Raw genomic sequence first — 25169 nt, 5'->3', positions numbered from 1 at the left:
TGTTCCTTAAGATATCAATGCCATATTTTTGTAGTTATGCAGAAGTGTGATGCTTTCTGAGTGGATTGGTTATAAGGAATAATGTCCTGTGTAGTAAAGAACAAAATAAACCAAGAGGGAACATCAAGACTTTGAAGAGCCGTGATGGAGAAGAAACACACTTATTTTATACAACTCAGTAGGGCAGAACCCAAGCTGGTAGCCAAATTGTAAGCAGGCTATGGCTTATACTAGCAAAAGGATGTTTCAATTGAACATTCTAAGGACATAGCTGCTGCAGAAGGAGATAGCTCCTCATCCCTTCCTTTGAGAATTCTGCTGGGCATTGGCAGTTGAGAAAACTTGTCTGCAGTCTGAGGCAACCTGTCTACCATCTAGGAATATGTATTCCCAGCTCAGGAACAACTGCCACATAATTAGAAGCGTATACAAGTTCTTTTTTTCCTTTTTTTATAGTTAGAATTTAAAAAGAAGGTAGGTGGGGGAGTGGAGGGAAGGGTGTGGTGAGGATAATGTTTAGCATCTTTTTTATATGACTTGTCTCACTGAGTTTTGTTTGTATTCTCTAAACTGAGAAGAATGCAAAGATCTAAAATAAAGTGATGCATAGCACTTATCAGACAGAAACTGTACACTGTCTGCTATCTTTGGATAGGCCCCTGAATATATTTGTTTCACCTCAACCTAAGAAGGCTAGTTTACAGGTGGCAAATTTGCAAACCCAGCATTCTTCTGTCTTTGGAGATACCAGTAACTTACTTGCCATCCCTCACCTAATAGGAAGAGCAAACTATTCATACTCTTCTGCTGCAACAGAGACCTTTTAGTTTCTGTGGACTCCATCTAAAGCTATCACAAAGTAGAAACCATGAATCAGAAAGAACATTAGTGAAATAATTTTGCTCATGTAGACAGATGAGAGCTGAATTTTTTTTTCTTTGCTGTATTCTGAATTCCAGTTCATATTTCTTCATGTGAAAGTGGCTTTTTTTTCCTGGATTTATATGAAGCTGAGCAAGCAGTTCTGGTAAAATTAAACCCACATATAAACAATAGATTTGGACAACTCAATTTTGGTTCTGAATTCCATTAGAATTTTTCCCCTCCTCTACTTTATTACAATTTCTGATTCTTTGCTTCTTGCAACCCACTTTTATATTGAATATCACATTTGTGCGAGGGCATGCCAAATTGGTATTGGTATAGACTGATTGTCTTGGCTTAGAAAAAGTGCTAAATTCAAGTTTGAAATGTTTGCACTTGACCGTATTTTGGAAAAGAAGATAATTGTGATGTTCGATTAAAATTTAATGAGGGCAAAAAGAGGGTTAAGAAGGGATAAAAAAGAGCACTTTGGGATGCCAGGAAGTGTAATGACCTCTTAACAAGGATAATCTCATTGAATCCTGGCAGCAGCAACACTGAAGTACTTATTGGGACCCCCTTTTACAGATGAGGACATTGAGTTTCAGAAAGACTATTTGGTTTGCTCACACTGTAAAGATGTAATGTGAATCCAGATCTTTAAGATTCTCAAACTCTGTACTATTTCATGATCTGTGAAGAAAGAAGCTTGTCTGGATTTTGTGTGTATTCTCTTCACAAGGTGCCTTCAGGGAAGACTTAGCGAAGGACAATAATACCAACAAATGAAAACAAAAATGGGCAAGTGCCTTCCCAGGAAGGAAGCAGCTTCCTCTGCAGAGCTGGGAAAGATCTTGAAACCAGAGAGAAGTTGTAATTGGACAAAAAATTGAGTTGGAGGTCCTGATAAAAAAATCAGAGCACAAATGTGGTGTAAAGTTTGAAGCAGTATATAATATGGTTATTTTCTTCAGGGAGAAAAATATAACATCAGTCATGGGACTTTAAGTCATCTAGCTAGGAGAAAACTAGGCAGAGATGGTTAGAACGGGCGAGCTGCAACGGTGAAGTTGCAAATGTGAAATGGTCATAGAAGGGCATGGTAACAGGGATTTGGGGGAAGACATGAGTAGTTTTCGAGAAGGTTAGGATATATTTGTAATTTCTCAAGTACTGTTAATTATGTAATGCCTTTACCTCGTATAACTCAGATTTATTCCATCCATACAATACTTCTGTTTTATTTAGAGTGCAGGAGAAACGCAGGGGAAAAGATGGATTATCCTAGGTGGAAATCAGTTCTAATTAGAGTTTATAGCTTTCAGACAAGAACCTTTGAAAACTCACACTCCAAATAACCCTTCTTCAATTGCCAACACATTTATTCTTATTTCATTTTATTTTTAGAAATCCAAAACTTAATTGTCTCAATATGACATGATTTCTTACTGAAATCTCTAATGAATTTAGCTACTTAAAAGAGAAAGGCTGTGGAAAAGCAGGCCTAGATACACAGAGGATGGTTGGTGAAAGCTGGAGAACATTTACAGGTGCGTAGGCTGTGCTTATTCTGTGTTCAGGGAAAGGGCTGCCCCACAAGGAACAAAGAAACACATTTAAAATAATGCCTTTAATATATTATAAACTGGGGGCTTTTCCTTAGTGTATACTGTATTATTCCATTTCTTTTTCTTGCTGAATATATACAAGGCACAAAAAAAGCATTGCTTTTATGTTTTAATTTCCCAGCAGCTCTCTGTATTGGAGACAGTAATTAATGAAAATTATAGGCTAAACATTTTCAAGTTTGCATTAGGTGCCTCAATCCTTATTTTAGAAAAGATTTCTACTCTACCTAAAAGAGTATGTGAGTATGTGAGTGTGTGAGTTGTGTGTGTATTGTGGGAGGGCACACGTGTAAGCTATCTCTCTTGAAGTTCTCAACCAACTACATACATACGGTGATGTCTACAATATGAGGCCCCATGTAAAAGAGATTATGTTTCCCTACACCTGCAGTGTGACTTTGAATGTAATATTCACCTCTTAAGAAACCCTTAGCTACTAGATCCATTTACATTTCAAGAATGAAATAATCCAGACAATATGTACTACTAACAAAATTAAGTATTGAGCTATTTTTTAAAAAGCTTAAAAACATGATTAGGGCATGGTGAATAATATTTTATAACCTGGCTCATGTGACCATATTATATAAGAAAATTGGGTTTTCTTTCAATTTTTCATTTTATAATTGAGCATAGCAACAAAGAATATTGAATTGGGTTAGGTGACCTAAGAAAATGAAATTTTTGCCCTCTTTTAGAAGTGAATACATTTTTTAAACAGCAGAGAATATTGTGCTTAGAAAAGTTAAATGAGAACCATAGGATAAATAAACAGTGATTTTCCAAACTTTTCACAGATTTATTCAAATCTTGCAGTCTTAGGTTGAAACAACTTAGACACCTCATCATTACTGTCCCATAAAATACAATACTATCTCCTGAAAACTATGAAAATGGGTGAAAGGATTTGTGGTGTAAGAAAAATGAAGGTGGAGGCAGGTAGGGAAAGAGTGGGTCATAAAATATACGGTTACAATTACACAGCTGTACTTCCTAGTAGACATTCAAAGAATGAATTTTTAAATGTGCTGATCAAATTTAATGCAGCAAAAATTTTAGGCACCTGCTGGCAATGGAGGTGAGTAAGCAAGATAAATAAGGCGTAGTATTTCCCCCAAGGCATTTGTATCCTAGGGTACATGTTTAGGTGTATGTATGCATAAAGTGAGGTGTGGGCAGAGGACAGGATGAGTGAGTTCTTAGCACCTTGTCATAAGAGGTGGAAAGACTGAACACATCAGCATTCAAACGAACGAGTAAAATCCCCTTAAGTAATAAATATTCCATGGAATACCTGCCATCCTCAGAGGTTTCTTCTCCTCAAGTCATGGCCCATTTCGTGGCCAATTTCCCTTTATTTTAGTTTTTTTTTTTCCTGATTACAAAACATTTTAATAGGTACTTGGAAAATTCAGAAAGGAGAAAATAAAAATCATCTTTAATCCCTTCACCTAGAGATAACAGTAATTATATCTTCCCAGGTTATTTTTCTCTGAGTATGCATGCATATGAGTATATATATATATATGTATATATATACTCATATATATGAATGTGTATATATACTCATATATGTATGTGTATATATACTCATATATATGTATGTGTATATATACTCATATATATGAATGTGTATATATACTCATATATATGTATGTGTATATATACACATATATATGTATGTGTATATATACACATATATATGTATGTGTATATATACACATATATATGTATATATGTATATATGTGTATATATGTATATATGTGTATATATGTGTATATATGTATATATGTGTATATATGTGTGTGTATATATATGTAATGTATCTGTGTATACATGTATATGTATGGATGACACAAAATTGAGACCAAAATTACATGTGGTTCTGTTACTTTTTTAACTTATTAAAATCTATTTCAAATATTTCTGCATGCCATTAAAATGCCTGTACAACTTTTTAAATGTTTGCATAACATTCCAATATGTGGCTATGTGGCAATTTATTTAAATATTCCCTTATTGTTTTGCATTCAGAATGTCCCTGAAATTTTTTTTTTTTTTTTTGCAATCTAAGGGGATGCCTCAATAGATATGTTTGCAGCCAAATCATTATGTGTACTTCTGATTATTTCCTTAGTATAAATTTCTAGAATTGTTGGATGAAAGGAAATGCATACATTAAATTTTTTGATCTCTATTAATTAGGGGCTATTTAAAGAATCACTTTCTTGACCTGCAGTGAGCATGCTCAGTGACTAGCAGGAGTTGGGGGGTCCAGAGAAGGCAGACTCTGGCTGGACCTGGGTGGCAGTTACTGGCTCAGAATGTGGAAGCACCGCTCCCCAACTGAAAGAGACCAAGCTGCCTAGCTTTGCCCAGGCAGCTTCAGAGGACAGTTGGATATTTGTAATATTGGAGGCACGGTCAAGAGGAACATGGGCTATTTTAGGCTAAAGTCATTTTACCTTTAAAATTCAAGTAGAGGCAATAAATAAGATTTGTGTGGTAGGGAGAAGAGTGTATTTCTTATTGGTGGTACACCCTGTTTGCTGAAGTCTAGCAAAACTAGTTGATTATTCAACTCATCCCTGAACTTTCTATAGATAAAATCAAGATGGACAAGATTAAAGAGAGAAAAAGGACTCAATGGAGTTGTGAAGGAAGAAGCTGTTGGACTTTGAGATGGGCATTTGTGGAGCCTCTGTAGAGGCTGATAATCTCTCCCATCACCCAAACCAGCTCTTTTTCCCAGTTACTCCATATCTGTCAGTGCTTGCACCTGTCCCCTAGGTGAGAAATTTGAGATGATTCTTTATCGATTTCCGCTATCATCTTAAATATGAAATAAATCAAGGCCTATAATTCTGTTCCATTTGTAATGTCTCTCAAATTTTCCTTCATCTCCACTTCTACTGCTGTCATCCTTTCCCAGTCTTCAGCATACGTCAGCAATTCTGGAGTAGCTTCAGACTGCACGTTCTCCTTCTCCAATTTCTCCCCTACTGTTTCCAGCTTACTGTTTCCCAAATGCCACTTAACTGTTTCTCTCAGAGAACCTGAAGCTACTGCAAATAACCACAGACTATGAGCCTTTTCAAAACTGGGGCTTTATCATACTCACTTTTGTAGCTCCAGTGTTTAGGAAAGTGGCTGACACCTAACCCAATTTTAGCCTTGCAACAACTCCATGAAGTTTTTGAATGGGAAATTGAGGCTCAGGGAGGGAAAGTGACTGCCAAAGCCTGCATAGCTAGTAAGCATTAGAGCAAGACTCTGTCATAGGCAGGTCTTTTTTTTTCCTAAACCACATGAACTCAGCTGCACCTTGCTACCTCCACTGTCAGGAATTGGAGACTTTCTCAATCAAATTCACTTATTGTACCTCTAGCACTTTTCTGCAATTAGTGCTATGTCAAGTGGTATATCACCTGCTGCAAGAAATATATTCGAAAATTTGCCAGTTGAATGTCAGAGAAGAGCTGATAAAGACCAAAGGAATTGAAGGTGGACCTTAAGCAGGGCTTGCAGGTTGAAATAGGATTTGGTCAGCAGGATACCAGGGTGGAGGGCATTCCATATCATGGAGGCAGACAGCAAAAGCATTGAGACAGAAATGAAACAATTTTTGCGTAAATGATAAAGAAATTAACTTATCTGGGGAAATAGTTCATGTAGTCTTTCTGGAAATAATCTTCCTTTAAAGTAATGGTTTCACTAGTGCCCTGGAAATAAACCCCGTAATTTCATGGATTTAGGTGCTAAGGACTGGAGAGAAACAGTCTTCTTTCTGTATGGCAAGAGCAGAGAGAAGAAAGCTCACTTGACTGTGGCATTCCCACACTCAGGATTTTGAAATGAGCCTGGATTTTGTGAGGATTCCCATGGCAAATCCTAGAGTACAGGAACCAGATTTGTATCTGAACACGGCTTCAGTTTTCATGATAACTTTAACCTTCAGAAACATTTTCACCCCAACTTTAGAAAAGAAGCATAAGATGAATTGGCGAAGGGTTTGAACATATTATTGCAAAGAGAACATTTTTTACTGGCCAATGAACTTCGTAGCCAAAAACATGTTGTTGAAAGGGGCCTGGCTGATGGCAAACAGTAAAATGAGACATTTGGAATCATAAACCCCCAAATAATTATCACCTGTAAATCAATGTCATAAAATTAAATAGAGGCATTTAAAAAGTATCAGGCAAGTTAAAAAATGGCAAAGAACAGAAAATTGCATTTCAGTAAATAAAGTAAATTTATTAAAAATCTCATTTTGCTTTGAAATTTGTCTTTTTAAACTTACGGATAAAGAACCAAGAAAGATTAGCTTGTAAGTTATGCTACAGATATGTGTGCACATTGAGAAGACAAGTAGTTTTAGTAGATTGCGACAGTATTTTGTATTTCTGCTTATTTGAACATCTGTGGGGGTCAGGGAGAATGTCACATGCATCGGGCCCTATCTCTTCCATTTTGCAGCATCACTGCTCTGGGATTCCAGTGAGTAACTATACAGTTTAGGTGTTTAGCACTGTCCTTCTCTGAAATTTCAACAGCCAAATTGGGAGCAGAATGTATGCGAAGTGTATTTTTCAGCCCTAAACCTCAGTCTCCTTCCTAGAGAGGACGGGCTTATAAGCTGCTAAAACACCCAGGTAACTGATATGCCTAGAGATCATGGTTTACCTACTTAGATATTGACAGTGGAGGTGAGTCTTTGCTGAGAAGGGCTCTTTCTCTAAGGGATTTTACTGCAGTTGGTTTAGAATTTCTAGGGGTAGGAGGTTTCACCTGGAGAGAGAGGCCAACTGCAAAGATCTTGGCTAAACACTCCACATGGCTTTGTCTTTTTAAAGAAGCTGATCCTTTTGAACTCTTGCCTCTGGGCTACCCTCTGTGAAGTTCTCTCCATATGATGATCACATGGTTTAGTCTACATTTTTGACCCAGTTCTGGTCTGTTTTGTGTTTACTGTGTTCTGGAGTGAAAACCACTTTGTGCATAATTGATACTTGACAGCCTGTGCCCAGCTTCTACCCAGACCAGTTAGGACATGCTTCTTCCTGACACAGTATGGACAGGTCCCAAACAGTGGTGGCTGTGACCAGGTGATGGCAGCCTTAGCTTTGGGGTTAGCTGTCCCTCACTTAGCCTCTAAAAGGTAATATTCAAGGGAAGGAGCTGAGGTTAGGGTCTGACATAAGAGATTCCTTTCCTCCTTCCTAAAGTACCAACAGGTCTAAACATTCTCATCTCCGAAGCAGTGGGGGCAGTTATGGGGCTGGAGTTATAAAGGCAACATCAGAGACACAACAAAAACAGGAATGCCCCTCCTCCCCACATCAGGCCGTCCACATCTTCAGAATAGGATTGGTGTCTTGGTCAGGGTTGAATGTCCAGCACAGTATCAGTAATATTTGTTTCATATAAAGATTAGAAAGGTGGATAAGGATGAATGCGAGCGATTATTCTAGCAGTTATTATGTTCTAGGCATTTTTTTTTAGTGGACAGTGCTATTATGCAGTTATTATTTAAGTAACCCCTTCACTGCCCTTCTGCCTTGAGAACTGAGCCTAGGACTACTGAGTTTTTGGGGGAGTATGGGGGTTAATAGTTCAGCCTCAAGTCAGCTGCTAAAATCAAGTGGCCGTCGTGTTCTTCCCATTACCTATGCCTTGTATCCGCGGCCTCCTAACAGGTCACTGTCTTGTTCTGCTGTCTTTGTGTACACTTCATGTTTCCTGTTAGCACAAGATCTGCCAGGATCTTCTCACACTCCTGGGATATGGGGACCCTGACCCTAAGCTTCAGTCTAGCCCTTGCTGCTTGGCCGCTCTGCTGCCAGATGCTTGGCCAGGCTGCCCATTTCCCATGATGCAGTCCTCTGCCCCTGTGCTGACTCCCTCACCTGCGGCTGACCACTGGGCCTCTCCCGTATTCATTAACTTGGCTATGTTTCTGCCCATTGCCTACAGCTGGGGGACTTCTTGTATTGTGTTTTCCTCCTATGCCCAGTCTGGCCCCCCACACCCTAGCCTTCCCTATCAGGCCCACCCTGCTGCAGACTGAGTCCTTTTTCTGAGTAACAGCATATTTGCTGTTCTTCTCTTCCCCCTCTCTAGTGTCTCCACCATGTTCTGATTTGGAAGCCTCTCTGTACTGTTTTCAAGTTGATTTTATTCTCGGCTCTGGTTCATAAAGAAATAATGTTTTTTCATGGCCGGACGCGGTGGCTCACGCCTGTAATCCCAGCACTTTGGGAGGCCGAGGCGGGTGGATCACGAGGTCAGGAGATCGAGACCATCCTGGCTAACACTGTGAAACCTGTCTCTAGTAAAAATATAAAAAATTAGCCGGGCGTGGTGGCGGGCGCCTGTTGTCCTAGCTACTCGGGAGGCTGAGGCAGGAGAATGGCGTGAATCCGGGAGGCGGAGCTTGCAGGGAGCCGAGATTGCGCCACTGCACTCCAGCCTGGGTGACAGAGCAAGACTCCGTCTCAAAAAAAAAAAAAAAAAATATATTTTTTCAGTGACTGATCCTAAGTTTAGGGGGGGAATCTCAGTTTTTGGAGGCAGCATAAGCTTGTGTATGAAGCTGTGTGCCTCTTTGTGGAGGCTGCATATTCTGGGGCATGGTTCATATTTTGTGCACTTTGTGTGTGTCTGTATGAGACAGAGAGGGAGGGAGAGAGAAAGAGGACAGAGGGAGAAAGGCATCTCCCTTTTTAGTATTTTCTGAAAAGCATGTTAATAAATGGAGCAAGGAGAAAGAACAAGGGGAAAAGGAATAGGTTCAGCCCTTTTATTCTTCAGTGATTTGGAGAGAAACAAACATATATCATGTTTAGCTAGTCTACCTTTCCCATGTCATAATTTTCTGGACGTCATTCTTGGTCTCCTAGTGAACTCAAGGCAGATATGGTGTTTTTATAAGAGGTGTCAGAATAAAAATGATGGCCATTATGACTGGATAAAACTTAGCAGTAGAAAAACAGGAATTTAAAAGGATAATACAGTATAGTGTCTGATGAAGAGACAAGCAGAGTGATCCCATTTGGTTATTACATGCTATGTGTCTATAAACATTTGGCACAGAGCAATTTAAACTTGCTATTCCATTTTAGGGAGAACATTTTTCATATTTACTGTACTTCATTTATAGGTGGAAAGAAAAAGAGGGATTGATTTACTTTAATACAACATTTGGATACTCTCCCTAACCTTAAACTTTTGTTAAATAACAGCTATATGAATATTACCTTGCAGCTGACCTTTTGGGATTGCTTTTCCCTAGTGAACATTTTTTCTAATTTTCTTCACGTGCATTTTAAACAGAGTTGCGGTAGGGATGGAATTTAATTGCTGTATTTGTATTTTATTCACTCGCTTTTATGTCTGGGGCAAAGAGGTGCATTTTGAATACATCTAGGAGGTAATTTAAAACTACTGCTGATATTGACAAAATACATAGCTAGAGGATGTGCATTTTCGTGAATATGCCCACAGGAAGGATCAATGCGTCTGTATGGGAGGGTTGGTATGAATGTGTCTCTCCTCTTTAGCCTTTTTGCTAAATTCAAAATCTGGAATTGGGATTTTCTGCCCTTTACTGTATTGACAGAATAGCTGATTAGGGTGTCTGAAGCTACACATTTCCAGTATGTGCTTTATTTCCTGTCATTTACATCATGGTATAACTGCAAATGTGGAGTGCATTTTTCTTGGTTGATGGAAGAATTGCTTTTTAGGCCCTCTAGAAGTAGATCTTCTCCTTTATGCTTTCAGGGTGATCTCTAAGATGCAAAATCACTACTGCTATGTTGGCGTTAATGGTGGCTACGCTGCAGAGGAAGGTTAATTAATTGGTCCACTGTTGCTAACTTACCTACCAGTGGACCCATGCAGCTTTACTGCTGTGCAGACTACTTCAGGCAGAAATCACCCTTTTAAAATCTAGATGTGCATATGATCATTTTTCTGGTACGTAAGTTTGAGAGCATTTTAATAATTTATTTTAAAAAATTCAAAGCAAAACATTATTGAATTCAGGTCAGATGAAAAATGGCTATATCTGCCATTTAGAGGGGTAGTAAAATCACAGAGCTTAGAGCTTCCCAGTTGTGGGGTCCAAGACAGACTTTTGCCCACAGGCCAATTGGCAATATAGCAAAGGTAGCGTGTAGATCTGTTTTGGGACAGGCTTAAAGTTTGGATAGAGGCAGAGTGGCATCATTTTGGAGACATTTCACTGTTAAAAATAACCTCACAGAAGGCTGGACAGCAATGTCCTTTGGTTGACATTCTAGGTTAGAAATTTCAGCAGACTTTTCCCTATGAATGAGATTGGAGTGGTTTTATTTTTGTTGTTGGCAGGAGACCAACAATACAGTTAAATGTGGACTAACTTGATTCTAGGTCCTCCTAGCACAGTTTTGGAAACCCATGGTCTAAGAAATGGATGCTGGGTAATAAAGCATGCTCCAAACCCTCCCTACCCCAAGTACCCTCTGAAAAGCTTATTAAATGAAACATTACAGGCGCAAGTTTGTGTTAAGGAAGAATGGTTCCTAAGAATGCATGGGGCTAAAAGCCAACCTTTGTTTTGAGTATGTTTATCTCCATGACCAGATGGAATATATCCAGTGACTTTATCACTTTGGTGACTTCACCATCTTGATTTTATTTGGTTTCACATGCCCATTTTTGGGGTGAGATTATCCTGGGGGAGCCACTGTGATTTAGCCATGTTCAAAATGGAATCTGTATTGCAGATATTTGGCATCTCTGCTACTGAGGAGGGGCACCTGGGTATCAACTGTCTCAATGCCTTCAAGGAAGGGTCATCTTTTCCATACTTCATAATAAAGTGGAACTGTGTGTTCATTTTCTGCCAGAGCATTTGAGTAGATTCAGAGCACAACATAAGCAGGATGAGGAAAGACTGAGTACATCCATTTTCATCCTAAACCAGCTCCTTGCCATGGGTGAGCTTCCTCTGAACTGAGGAAAGGATAGAAGCACTCAAAAATGGGTGCTGAATTTAGTGGTATCAATGAAGTATTTGGGGAAATCAGAGGAGGGATGATTGACCTTTGACTTGGGATAGTTTGAGTTGGTCTGGGGAGAGGAAAGGGTCTCAACTGGACTGGATGAAGTAAAGAGTTTGACTAGCAAGGAAAAGGAAAGGAGGACATTTATTCTGTTTCTGCAGCAAGATAAAAATATGCAGGTAAGGAGACAGGAGAGATCAAGGAGAGCAAGGGGAATGGAGAGGAAACAAAGTTAAAGAACTTTAGATCTGATGTATTGAGTGTTAGGACACCCTGTAGGTGTCTGAGTTAGGGCCCTAGTGTGTGAATAAACATTTTTAAAATGTAATACTAACATATTGCAAAAATAGGTTGATTAGATATATCTTTATTGGGATGATAATTATTTATGGTATTTGGTAATTTTGTGTCAATATATGAGTTAAAAATAGACGAAAAAAACAAATTGTGTGACATTTTGATTCTTGTCTACATAAAATGGAGGAGAAATATGTCTTCTAAGCACCCAGACTTCCTTTTCTCTACTCTCTTCCTTTGTGGATGAGCCATGACCCTCGCTTCCCCATTACAATGCACGCTCCCTGGAAAGGGACTCATTTAAGCCATTCAAATGTTAATATGGTTAAGCCCAGGGCCCCTTGCTCTAGAAGCTTGATCGCTCATGAAGAACAGGCCTTGTAATAGGTGGGGCAATGTCATTCATTGGGAATAGAGGGAAATAAGGATGTTGGTGGGTCAGAGCCCTTTTCCAGAGACTGTCACTCCATGCATAATAGGTCCCTCACCTCAACTCCCCACTCCCACTTTTTCCAAATGTCAGTTTGCTGTTATAATGGATTTGCCCTCCTTTTAAAACATCTATTATTATTTTTATTTATTATTATTTCCTGGGAGCATAGATTTGAGTTGCCCTGAAAATACACTCCCTGCCCTCCTTTTTTTCCTGCAATGTGGAGCCTTTGGACTTGTGGGTGAAATCCCTTTAGAATCAGAAGCTTCCTGGCAGGCTTTTCACTGAAAACTGCTTCTGTCCACAGATGAGGCTTAGGCAAGAGATGGCTGGGCCCTTTCAAGTAAAACATTCCTGTTTTGAGCAACTTCCAATGGTCTGCTCACTGGATGTGCAATCATAAACAGATGATTAATGAAAACTTTTTAGGAATTTCACTGGGAGCTGATGGATAAGACATAGTCCATGCTCCATAGGGGCTTAGCAATTCAGATTTTGGAGTTAGAAGCAAACGACCTAAGGCAAAAATCCCCTCTTGGTTTCCATGATGGTGGTTTGCCATCTTGCTCAAGTCCTTTTCCATGACCCTCTTTCTGTGGCTGTTCAGTCTTTTGTTGAAGAGCTCCAGTCCTAACAAATTCCCTCCTCAAATATTGAACTAAAAGCTACTTGCTTGTAACTTCTTGCCATTGTCAAAACAAATCCTTTTCCATTATGAGAGCTTCTCAGGGCCAAAAGAATGTGGAAGGGGCCACATAACCAGACACCCAAGGGAGGCTGAATCATGAGCTTGACTGCTATAGAAGCCTGAATCTCGGGATAGGGCTGGACAGGGTTCCAGGACAGGTGCTACACGGATTCTGTGTTAGCTGGTCACTGCACCTGTCCCAGTTGTGGTACTACCTAAGGTTCTTAGAGGAAGTAGATCATTTAAAGACAGAGACAGAAGAGTAAAAGGGCTTGGCTATGGAATTTCTTATTGAGTCTATGATTGTCACCTGGCCTGGGAGGAAAAAGAATGCAGCAACCCCTCAGGGAGAAGACACTTTAGTAGTCGTGAAGGCCAAGAATGAAAAAGAAATGTCTAAAGTGGGTGAGGGCTCAGTTTTATAGGGCCAATTCTAGGCATATGTCAAGACTCTTAACTTGGACCTTGTATTCAATATGGAATCTCTGGACCTCCCTTGCTATCTTGGGAGCTTGTCATGTCAGCTTGTCATGTCAAGAGACCGGCTCCTAATTCTTCCCTCTTCAATTGTTTGTTAACAGGGAGCAAACTTTCCTGTGGGTCAAAGTTAGACATTTCTGTCCACTTTCTCGTCTTATAGGTGATGGCATTGGCACTCCTGGTTTAGATATCACAGGGGAAGAAGGTTGTGAGAAATTTGTGTATTTCCTAGACCAACCCTGCTGAGTGAAAGTCCCCATTGGTGCTTCATCTCACCCCTAACATTGCAGGCACACCTGGGAAACTAGTCTCTACAGTTGAATTCAAGTTTACATTTTGGCCCAGTATCCACAGAAATAATGATATCTGCTAAATACGTGGGTTTCTGGAGACCACACACTCAGGAGTATTCTCTAAAAAAGGGTGCAAGTATAATTCCCTTTTCCCCAAGGCTCCTTCTTGTCAGGAGGCCTTCATCTGCTCCAATATGTGCCTTCTAGGTTAATGACCTCAGCCCTGAGAGTCAGTTGAGAAGGGATCTTCCACAAGGGACTATATCTTCTTCGGGAATTGTGCTCTCTCTCCTCTGCTCTGCTCAAATTTTATGGAGCAGTTCACTTCTTTTCTTCAGCCATGCCAAGTCTTAAGTTTGGGAAGGAAGCATTATCATTCATCCATTCCCTACCATTTGGTTTTCTATCATGGAGGAAATTTTTTATTATATAAACAGAAGCCTTGAATCTCACTTTCTTCATCCTGAAGAGGTCTTCAGATTCTTTTTTTCCTTTCCGGACTGGCAAGCATTGGCTAAATACTCTGTCATGTAACCCTGGAGAAGACAGGAGGCTCCAGTTGGATTTGAGCTGTCCTGGCATGTCTTGCTCTTACAAGGAGCCCATGCAACTGCTAGAGAATTGCATCTCTCTTCTTTTTGTTTTCCCCTTTCTTTTCTTTGCTTCTATCCTCTCTCCATCTAGAAAGGATCTTATCATTTAGACAAATCTGGAGATTTCACATTTCAGCTTATTGTCTGCAATACATTTCCCACAATTTGCGCTTCAATAGAATATCTCCTGAGGCATGTTGAATACTTGGGGTTCTAGAAACCACTCCTAGATAGGTATTCCTTCAAGATCTCTGGGTTGAATCTAATTGGACAGGCCTTTACCCTGGTGGACTGCAGCCGCATCAGGGAGTCGGGGTTGGAGCTGAGGAAGATCACCTCTGGCACCTTCTTTCTGGAGACTGCCTTCAACCAAGGTGATGAGCCACATGGTGTTGTATAAATGTTAATCTCCTGTTCCTCTCCTTGCAGCCCTGTGACCTTCAACATTGCCTCTCGGAGGCTGCTGTGGTCCAGCTTAGACCTCCCCCTAGAAATTCTGCATTGGCTTCTTGACTGCTCCTCTCCTGTTTTCTTCTTGATATGATCCTTGACTTCTTCTTTGCTCCTCTTACCTCCTTTGCTTAGTTTTCTCCCCCTCTTTCTGCTGCTCTTAATGCTCGGACATCCTCTTTTTTTCTTGTGGCTGTGGATATGTATTGATATGGTTTGTCTGTGTCCCCACCCAAATCTCACCTTGAATTGTAACTTCCTTAATTCCCAAATGTTGTGGGAGGGACCCGGTGGGAGATAATTGAATCATGGGGGTGGTTTTCCCCATACTGTTCTCATGGTAGTGAATAAGTCTCACGAGATCTGATGGTTTTATAAGGGGAAACCACTTTCACTTGGCTCTCATTGTTTCTTTACTTGCTGCCATGTAAGACATGCTTTTGTTCTTCACTTGCCTTCTGCCATGATTGTGAGGCCTCCCCAGCCACGTGGAACTGTGAGTCCATTAAACCTTTTTTTCTTTATAAATTACCAGTCTTGGGTATATCATTTTCAGCAGCATGAAAATGGACTAATACATGTGTCTTCTTGTCAGTTTCCTGCTACTGCTAATAGACAGTACGAATCCCTTAGAAATGTGAGGGACACATCTTCACTGTGCCCAGTGACTCTGTCTGCAGTCACTGTCCCTAAGACAAACATCTCCTATTTCCTTTTTGGTCTCTGTAAATTGGACCACTGTTTCAGGTCTATAGTCCCAGATTTTTTTTTTTTTTTTTTTTTTTGCTATTGAAAGATGCAGATTGCTAGGTGGAATCTCAAGGAGGCAGCCAATTGGGAAGAAGGAGCCAGGTCCATTCAGCGGGTGTTAATAATGAAGCAGGCCGGGCGCGGTGGCTCACGCCTGTAATCCCAGCACTTTGGGAGGCCGAGGCGGGCGGATCACGAGGTCAGGAGATCGAGACCATCCTGGCTAACACGGTGAAACCCCGTCTCTACTAAAAATACAAAAAATTAGCCGGGCGTGGTGGTGGGCGCCTGTAATCCCAGCTACTCGGGAGGCTGAGGCAGGAGAATGGCATGAACCCAAGAGGCGGAGCTTGCACTGAGCCGGGATAGCGCCACTGCAGTCCAGCTTGGGTGAAAGAGTGAGACTCCGTCTCAAAAAAAAAAAAAAAAAAAAAAAAAAATAATAATAATAATAATAATAATGAAGCAGTGAACTTACATAAATAAAGACAGCCTAAAATATTTAGTATCCTACAAGAAAAGTATACAGGGCAGTCGCTCAGCAAGTCTCAGATCTTCTTGAGCTATTGTCTTAAAATTTCTTTTCCCTTTAAGGTTGACATTAATAAATATTACCAGCATGCTTTTTTACCTTACATGTAAAATTTGGCATGTAGCCTATTAGGAGAGGAGCAAATAGATATGCTATTGTGAGTCCTGTTGACATTTTTGGTGTGGGATTCTTCCCTGATTCTGAATGCATAAGGACTTATTCTTGTCACCTGTTGGGATGCCCAGGTTTATTGTCTATTACTTCTTTATTACCTTGTGTGAGGTAATCCTGATATCTTTATGTAAAATAGGAAGGTTACGTCTGAGACTGACTTCCTAGAGCTGCTAGGCCTTATGTTTGAGACCAAAGGACATCACTCCAAATGCCAAACTTCAGGGCTTCTTCTCATTTTCCCTTTTGCTGGTAACAACATCCTATTTGCTCTCTTGATGGAGGCAAAAGAGTGATATGGACCAATTTATGAAATGTCTTCACTTCAGGATAATGTGTATATCACACAAATCATAAAGGACAGCCTGAATTTCATAGGATAAAAAAGATGAGGAAAGAATCCCTTGGAACCAGAACCAGAAAGAGGAGCCCTCACCAATGAGTGGATTCTTGGATACCAAGAACAAGGGTGGTCCTGATCCTATGACAGAGTCACCTCCAGCTTCTGAAATACACTAGGAGGCTCATACCAAGGCAAAAAAGAAAACAAAACAAAAAACTCACAGTGATCTCTCTATGGCAGTGACCACTGCCCTCCTGCTCATGTTTTGGTCTTGATCTTGAGTCATTCTTTCTGGTCCATCTCATCTGTGATTTGATGAAGTGGGTTACAGAGCAGGCAAAGCCCGCTTTGAGCAGGTACTGAAAGGGCACCATAAGTGCCTTCAGCATGGAAGACCACTAGGGGCAATCAAGCAAGCAGTAGGAGGGGACTGTCCAAGGTGTTCCCCCAGTCAGGGGTCCTGGATTCTGTGGACAGCCAGGGTCAGGGCAGTGTTTTCACAGTGATGCTCTTACTTTGATATCTTCTTCTTCCTTGTGGGACTCACTGCTTTTAAAGAAGTTTGTGGTGGCACCTTCTTCTTTCCGGAAAGGAAAATCTATGGTAGTCTCCTCATAAAGGGACTCAATAAACTTTAGGCCATACTACCTGTCATCACCTGGAATCAACTGACCTATGATGTATGATTTTTTTTTTTTCTTCTTGGCATATAAGTAGAATGGCTTTGCAGAGGCCATAACTTGAGAGCAGTAACAGTTAGAAAAATGAATGTCCCTTCTCTTGTGGAATTGAATTCTGTGTATATTCTGACCTCCTAGAGTATCTAACTATCCCCTTCTTCTCTCTACGTTTTTGAGGAAGGGAATAGGTTGTCTTTGTACTTTACAAAGTCTTCATATTTCTCAAGTGTCTATTATGTACTAGGTACTATGGAGGGCGTTTCACTTGTAGACTTTACTTCAGGTGATCCTCCTCATGACTTAGAATTTTAGAGACTGTTGGGGAGATGGACATTCTCCTCCATTCCCTGTCTCCAGCCTTCAATTGTGGGAGTCTCTGCCCCAAAATCCTGGAACACTCTCCTAGTCAAGCCTGGTATTACTATTGTCCCACTACCGCTAACGCCAAAGCAGGCTGCAACAATTATCTTTCAATTTGCATAATTCTGAGGAGGAGGAGGCCTCAACTCCTCCTCCTCTTCCTCTCCCTTACTCTTCCCTTCCCCAAGGGAATTAACTGTAGACCACTTGTTTTATTTTAACTCAGACAATCTTCACTGCTTCTTGGGGATGCTCCAGCCCTCATTTTTAATAGCTACTGTCCCTGTATCCTTGGGTTCCTTATTATCTATCATAGTCTCATTCTTTCCCTTGCTCATCTTCACTTACTTGCATTTACCCTGTGATCCTCCCAGGCATCTATGCACAGACTAGAGCCTTCAGTGAAGTCCTTTTTTCCAAGGGAATATTTATTCCATGTGCTCTTAAGACCAGGGACCCATATCCAAATTTCCTCTATATTTATTCCCTACAAAAACCTGTTTTGATCAGGAAACATGGAGCTGCCAGAGCCTGCCAGTGGGATTCACAATGGCAGCTGCCATCACTGGCTAGAATTCCCTGATGTGTATTCACAGTCAAAGCAAAACCACTTCTTGGGCTCTCTACTCCCTTGTTCTCAACTTTTCCTATCACTGGATCTTGGTTCTGTCCTTTGAAAAATAAAGGACTGGACATATATTATTATTTATTTCTCTTTTTGCTTCCCAGGTGGCTCCTGCAGTGACTGACTCTAAGGAATCAGCAACAGCACCTTTGTCTCTACTTAGGTGAAAGGACTGCGCTAGCCATGAATAGCCGGCACAAGTCCCTGACTTGTTCAGTGTAGGAAGAGAAACCCTCAAGGAACAGGAGCTGGCTGCTTTGCAGGTTCTATAAATCCTCAGGCACTGTTGGAGTCTTTCTGAAGGACGTAATAGCCCCACTATGAATGCTAAGATCTCAATTCACCCTTTTCTTGGAAAGCCTGATGCAGCCCTCTTGTCCAAAGGTATTGAAACCACCTCTTTTTGAGCGTATTTCACCTCAGCTTATTCCACAGCATCATTTCTTCTGAGACTCTTTTTCTTAGCAAATTTCTTTGGGCAGTGACATGAATGGCTTCTGGGAAGTCTCCTCATGTGAGGCACCACTTGTCCCTGTAGCTTGTGTGTTCTTGAATTTTGAACAATTAGTTGATAATGACCTACCTCCAACTGGGATGATTTTCACTTGCCATACAAGTTTTAGCAATCTCTACAGGAATAAGTGAAGGGGGAATTATCAAAGCTCATTCCATTCTGAAGTTCACCAGGGCTTGTGTAAGATTCTCTGTCCTATTGGCAGGACTGAGAATTCTGCGTCTCCAGCTGAACAAACTTCTTTTTCTATGTTCTTGGGGGATGGTGGAAATTCTCTCTTACCAATGGGAAATCTTCCACGGAGAACACTTTAATGTTCTGAGTGATTGCTGAATACAAACAGGAATAACTTTTTGGCTTTAGGAAAGAAAGGTCTTTAATTTCCTCTCTCCACCTTCCCTCAGGTCTCTGGAGCCATGTTCTTCATGTCGTAGTTCTGATGCTCTTCCCATTCATTCCTGTCTCCTAGATGCTCAGATTCGCCAAGATGCAGTTACTTCCCTCTTCTGCAAATATTCCTTCAATTACTTTGTTTTTGTTTTTTAAATATTTATTATACCAATATTATAACAATAAAAATATTTTATAAGTGAAAAGATATAAATCCAAGTTCAGAAATCTTTCATTTTTTTCATGTTCTCTTCCGGCCTTGTTTATAAGTGGATGACATATTTATGCAGTTTTCATACTTGAATAAAATTTTTATAGTCCTGTATAATCTGCTGCACCTGGGATCAATTTCAGGGGGACATTAAAGGGTTGTCAATATTGATGATCAGACACATGGCACTTATCTGTTTATGGCCACTTGTGAGAAAGGTATTTTTTTTAATAAGGCTAGAAGTAGATACTTCCCTCTTAAAACTCTGTTTTTGGTCCTCCATGTTGCTGCTCTTGTGTCTAAGCAGCCACAGTCTCAAATCAGTGAGATGGAGATTTCTCTTGTGCTTTATTAAATGGTCTCTCCCAGGGAGAATGAATCTCCCAAGGAGAGAGGAGTTTTACTTGCCATTTTATGAGTTCTGCAAACCCTTTCTAATTATATTCTAAGAGAAAATGCCACAGACAGCATATTCCACAGAAGTCCAGATGATGGAGGCTAAAAGGGAAATAGGATCACATTTATTTATAAGCATTTGTTTAGCTACCACCCTGTAGGTTCTGGCTAGGAGATGGAGAGTGCCAGTGAGGTGGAGTTCAAATACAAGTGAGAAATTGTCCTACGATCAAGAAATTAGCAGCCAGAACATTAAAATTTTCAGGAACATTGGCTGCTGGGACATTACTTTCATCCAGACTTTCTCTTAGGTCCTTGTTCCTGCTTAATCCCTTCGAAGTTGCTCACAGACCTATTACAGCTCTCATCTCACCCTGTGCACTCTTTCTGGGTTGCCCTAGGTACAACCAGGAAACTCTGTTTCATGATTCATGAAACTCTATTCTTTGTGCTCGGTATATTCAGATCTGTTTCTTTAAATTGGGGTAAGAAATTTCTTTTTACTTTCTTAAATTTAAGGCCATTGCTTTTAAATATAAGAGTAAAACATTATTATTATGGAAGGCTGAGAAAGCGGAGATGAGCAAAAAATACTAAAGGAGTCGGTCACTGTTAACATCTGTGTGTATATCCTTCTCAACTCTTGTTCTTTCTTTAAAGATATTTCGTCCAGTTTTTTATGTACATAAATATGGTTTTGTAAAAATGTGATCATAGCCATATGAACAGCCACTATCATTCTCCATGGAAAATATCTTGAGCATCACATTTAAATAATTTGTATCCAATATCTGGATCCATTCACCTTCTGCTCAGTACTAGCCACCTCCTATTTTGAGTGATACCACCATGAACTAAATTCTTTAAGTCTGAACGACATGAGTCTATCCGAAGAGTCAGATTAGTACCCTTCATATCAAAACGTCTACTGGGTGTTGTCAATTTGATGTCACAAACACCTCAGGACTTTACTCAGCATCTCACTGTTTTTGCCTTATTTTTGGTCTTCACTAAATCTTGCCTGAATGACCTTGATTCCAGCCCTATCCCAGATGATCAATCTTTCATACCCTGTCAAAGCCATTTTTCTAAAATGCAAATATGATCCAATTCTTCCTCTGCTTAAAACCCTTCACTGGCTCCCCATTGCTTACAGGATAAAAACCCAGGTAGCAAAGCCTTTAATGATGCTATCCCTGAACAGCTCTCATTTCTTTCATCCCTCCACTCCTCTTTCTATCAGCTTTGGATCCACATGTAGCACACAATGTCTCCAAGTTTTTGTGCCTTCCGTTCCCTTTTACTGGGGATGCTCTTTATCTTTTTCCATTTTTGGCTAACTTCCGCATGTCCTTCTACAGTAACTGTCCCTCAGCTACACAGAACTCCTCTTGGTCCATCACATGTCTGACCCATCTTTTTGGGCACCTGTTTTAGAGCCTATTCTGCTGGAGGTTGGAAAGAGACTTAGAGAGTGGTTAGTGATGCATCTGGTAAGGGAAACATGGAGGTTATCTCAGCCTCTGCTAAAAAAGGAGGAGGCTCTCATTCAGAGCAAACACATGGGCCCTGCAGTACTGGAAGAAAGACAGTGAATGGCCATCATGCTTTTCCAGGCGCCCTCAGATTGCTCACTGGGCTTTATGACTTCTTAAAGAAAATCTATTGCCTTATTCCCAAAAGGATTTAACGTGTCGCACAGAGATGAGATACTGTAATAGAATGGGATAAGTTAAAAAAAAAAAAAAAAGAAGAAACTGTACTACAGGGAAAACAAAGCTCATAGTAAACTGAAGCCAAGAGAAACCACTCTATAGAATGAATATCATTACTCATTGCATATTTGCTAGAGGAGGTCTACATATTTAGCTCTGTGCATTAAGTTATCTCACTTAAAAGAAGGAAGTGTGATCATCATCACTGACCAGACCTGTGACTAAGGAAAAAGACAGTTATTCATAAGACTGGGATCGAAGAAGCGTTTCTGTTGGCACTATCTACAAAACTTTTGACTTTTCTCAGTCCCAATAAAAAAGTCCCCTTTAGAGGACTGAGGTGTTTTTTTTGTTTGTTTGTTTTTTTTTAGAGATGGAGTCTCGCTCTGTCACCCAGGCTGGAGTGCAGTGGCGAGATCTCGGCTTACTGCAACCTCTGCCTCCCAGGCTCACGCCATTCTCCTGCCTCAGCCTCCCAAGTAGCTGGGACTACAGGCACCGGCCACCACGCCTGGCTAATTTTTTGTATTTTTAGTAGAGATGGGGTTTCACTGTGTAAGCCAGGATGGTCTCGATCTCCTGACTTTGTGATCCACCCGTCTCGGCCTCACAAAGTTCTGGGATTACAGGCGTGAGCCACCGCGCCCAGCCTAGGACTGAGGTGTTTTAACTCAATTTCACTTATGCCAGTTATATGGAGGGGTGCCTTGTAGGAAGAGGAATTGCAGGGATTTGCTCTGGGTCTTCAAAGCCTTTTGGGTGCCTGGTGGTTCCTATTGACTAGATGGTTTTCTCAGGCCCAGCAATCTCCTGTGAGTAGATTTTAGTTATTTTTGAACCTATATTCTGTCCTGATTTAAAATGCTCCAGATTTTGTCCCCTCACTGCCCTAAGTCCTCTTTCCTAGGATCTTGTTTCTATATCTTGCAGGAGACATAGAAATCAGATCCACACTTGGAGTAGATTTCATTTATTCAACAATCTTCTCTATGTCAGTAATTGGGGTATATATAAAAGATGGCAGGCATAAAGAGGTATGTGTAGGCAGTTAACCCCTGAGCAAGCATCTTGCCCGTGTAGCCCTGTATATATGTTTCCTCCCTGCTTGCTAACTTCATTTAAATATTCTCATGGTACAAAGATAGTAACCAAACCCCAAAAGGCAGTTCTGATCTATTTGTGGAATGTTTCCTCTTGATCTTATGTACTTCTTTGTGACTATATAGGAAATTATAGGTCTTTGGGATTCCAGACCCAGGATGTGATCTTAAGGTAGGCAGACTGGCTCCATGTCAAATACTGGAGACATCTCTTTAGAGCCTTCTGTTGCTGTACCTCCCTTGCTTGCTCTGTCTAGGAAGGGATGTATGAGCCTAGGTGGGTGGTTTCTTCCTGCTTCTGGTGCTTTTGCTACCTGCTCACAAAGTAGGTGGGTCTCTCAGCAATGGGGATGGAGAGGGTGACTATGGTTCCTATAAAAGATGTCCTTGTTGAGGGTTGCTTCTTTCCAGGATGAGCTTGTCTTTATACCTTTTCTGAGAAAAGTGCATGGTCTGAATGGAGACATTTCAACCCTGGCATGATTTGTGTGGTTGTGGACATTGGTGTGGGTGTTGCGGAGACTGGACTGGGATGCTGAAGAGAGCCACACCCTATTTCAAAGTCCCCTCTGCTTAGGTTGCTTTACGTTGGCTCAAGCACGTAGCAGTGACACTTACTGAAGGTCCTTCAAGGAATCAGTCTCTTGGATGTAGCTGCTATATGGGTCTTCATCCTGTTCTTGGCCTTGATGGTGCCCTTTGTCGTGACCCATCCCAAACCAGAAGCCTGGTTTCACATTGTGTGTATGTTCCAGGAGGGCTGGACTACAGGTTGGACAGAGGCCTGCAGGTTTTGTTGGTTCTGGGTCTCTTGGCCACATTATTATGTCATTAAGGGGGTCCCTCTGGTTGCCTCTTATTTAATAACTTTTCGTCTGCATTATTGGTCCAGGAATTTGGGAGGGGTAAACACACCACTGCTGGGAAATTGGATTGTAAGTACCTCAGTCTCTTCTATGTATGCCAATTACCACAAGTCCACTCTAGAGTTTTGTCTCCTCTTGGTTTGCAAATGCATTTGTAGGCCCCATTCTTGAGAGAGAGAAAAAGAGAGAGAGAGAAAGGGAGCCACAAGGCTTTTGAGAAGTAAAGAAAAAGCTTTCTGGAGCCCCAAAGTTCCCCTTTCTATCCTGGCCCTGAGTTTTAGTCACCTCTGAGATTCTTGGCTGAGGTAGTGTCTTTTTCTACTTTCAGATTAGGACTGACAACTGAATGGAAAAAAATTAACATTGTTTCAGTGCTTTCTGTCCTAGGATTTCCCATGCTGATCTCACCTCTGGTGATTTTGCTGTGGTGGCATGTCCAGAGTTGCTGAATGACAGACCTTGGGTTACCCTTCCTGGGCTGGCACTGACCTGCTTTTCCAATGCTGTCTCCCAGTTGCCCAAGATCATTTGGCTAGATACTGGCTCCTCCATATCCTCCTCTATTTCCCCGAGGGAAGGTTTTAGGTTTGTCACTGGAGTTGGGGTTTCCCTGGAATTTGGAGCCTGCTTGATTTTTCTATGTCCAACCATGGTCCCTGGGTGGCAGTGGCTTGCTTGGTCTCCATTATCATTGCTAGCCTTTCTCATTCCTCTTTTGTTCCCTGCCTGCTGGGTGTTCATATCTCCTATCCACTGCATTCTCAGCTTTTCTCCCATTTTCTCCCTGCACTGTGAATCTCAGAGACGTCTAGGCACTGTGGAACTACAACAAATAGTTTCCCTGTGAGAGGTCAGAGATCTCCATAATCACATTCTAGCTGGGACTCTGGATAAGAACATTAACCTTTTTAACTTTTTTTTTTTCTATTTCCTTTCTAAGTTACAAAAAAATCAATCAAGAAAGCTAATTAGCATTATCAGAGGTTGCTGACCTTTGTCAGATTACCCTCAGTTCCCTGCTAAAGGCAAATAGCCACTGGTTCATGTTCCTCAGAGCTGACTGATCGGCTTTAGCAAGAAGTGGTATTCTTTCTTATATAGCAATTTCACTTTCTGTGCCTCAGTTTCTTTTTCTTTAAATGCAAGGAAATGATACTAACGGGTATTTACTGTGTCACTCTTTATTCCCTCGTTGCCCCCTAATTAAGCCATGGCTCTTGTTTCGGGTTTAAGAGTCACTCATACCATGTACTCACAAGGCAAGGGAAGTGCAGCTCCTGGTGACATTAAGGAAGAAGAGCTTGTTGGTTAGGGTGGAGTCATCTGTGAGTTCTGTGCATCCTCAATTTGATCGCTTCTTGAAGGTCAATAACAGCATAGTCTCCCACAGTTCTCTTTTGCTCTCTTAAACTTTATTTGAAGTTTGCAATTGTGGATTCTCCTCAACCATTTCTTCTGAGGGAAAACTCAACCTAGTCATCTCTGGTTTCCATGCCTTTCCCTGCCCTAACCTGCTGGAGAGCTTATTTGATATCCTCATTATCCCTAATGCTTTTTTTTAATGTCTCTTCATGTTCAGGGAGCCAGTGTATCCTGGGATGATTCCTTAAGACTGGATGCTCCTTTCTCTTTGACTGATGTGTTCTTGGTACTCAGACATTTGGTTGATGTTGAGATGAAACCAAGAAATCATCACAGAGAAGACTCTGTTCTCACTGAACCAGGAAGCAGTGGCCTTT

General features: G+C 40.9%; 1 long non-coding RNA gene across 1 annotated transcript, besides 1 other annotated feature; it reads left to right on the top strand.

The window, feature by feature from the left end:
* The first annotated feature begins 5222 nt into the window (after nucleotides 1–5222).
* Nucleotides 5223–19356, top strand: LOC124902133 (uncharacterized). The gene is made up of 2 exons (XR_007061439.1): nucleotides 5223–5283; nucleotides 18343–19356. It is a non-coding gene; the product is annotated as an uncharacterized LOC124902133 (long non-coding RNA).
* Nucleotides 11847–12478: an enhancer, noted in NCBI's record as "OCT4-NANOG hESC enhancer chr9:26636976-26637607 (GRCh37/hg19 assembly coordinates)". NCBI's record gives its function as "activates a minimal SCP1, AML or CMV promoter by ChIP-STARR-seq in naive and primed H9 embryonic stem cells {active_cell/tissue: H9 hESC(naive and primed)}" and the evidence as "EXISTENCE:reporter gene assay evidence [ECO:0000049][PMID:30033119]".
* Nucleotides 19357–25169: the final 5813 nt, after the last annotated feature.

The sequence above is a fragment of the Homo sapiens genome, chromosome 9 (genome assembly GCF_000001405.40).
Source record: "Homo sapiens chromosome 9, GRCh38.p14 Primary Assembly".
Lineage (NCBI taxonomy): Eukaryota > Metazoa > Chordata > Mammalia > Primates > Hominidae > Homo > Homo sapiens.
This window is presented reverse-complemented; position numbering and strand designations above follow the sequence as displayed.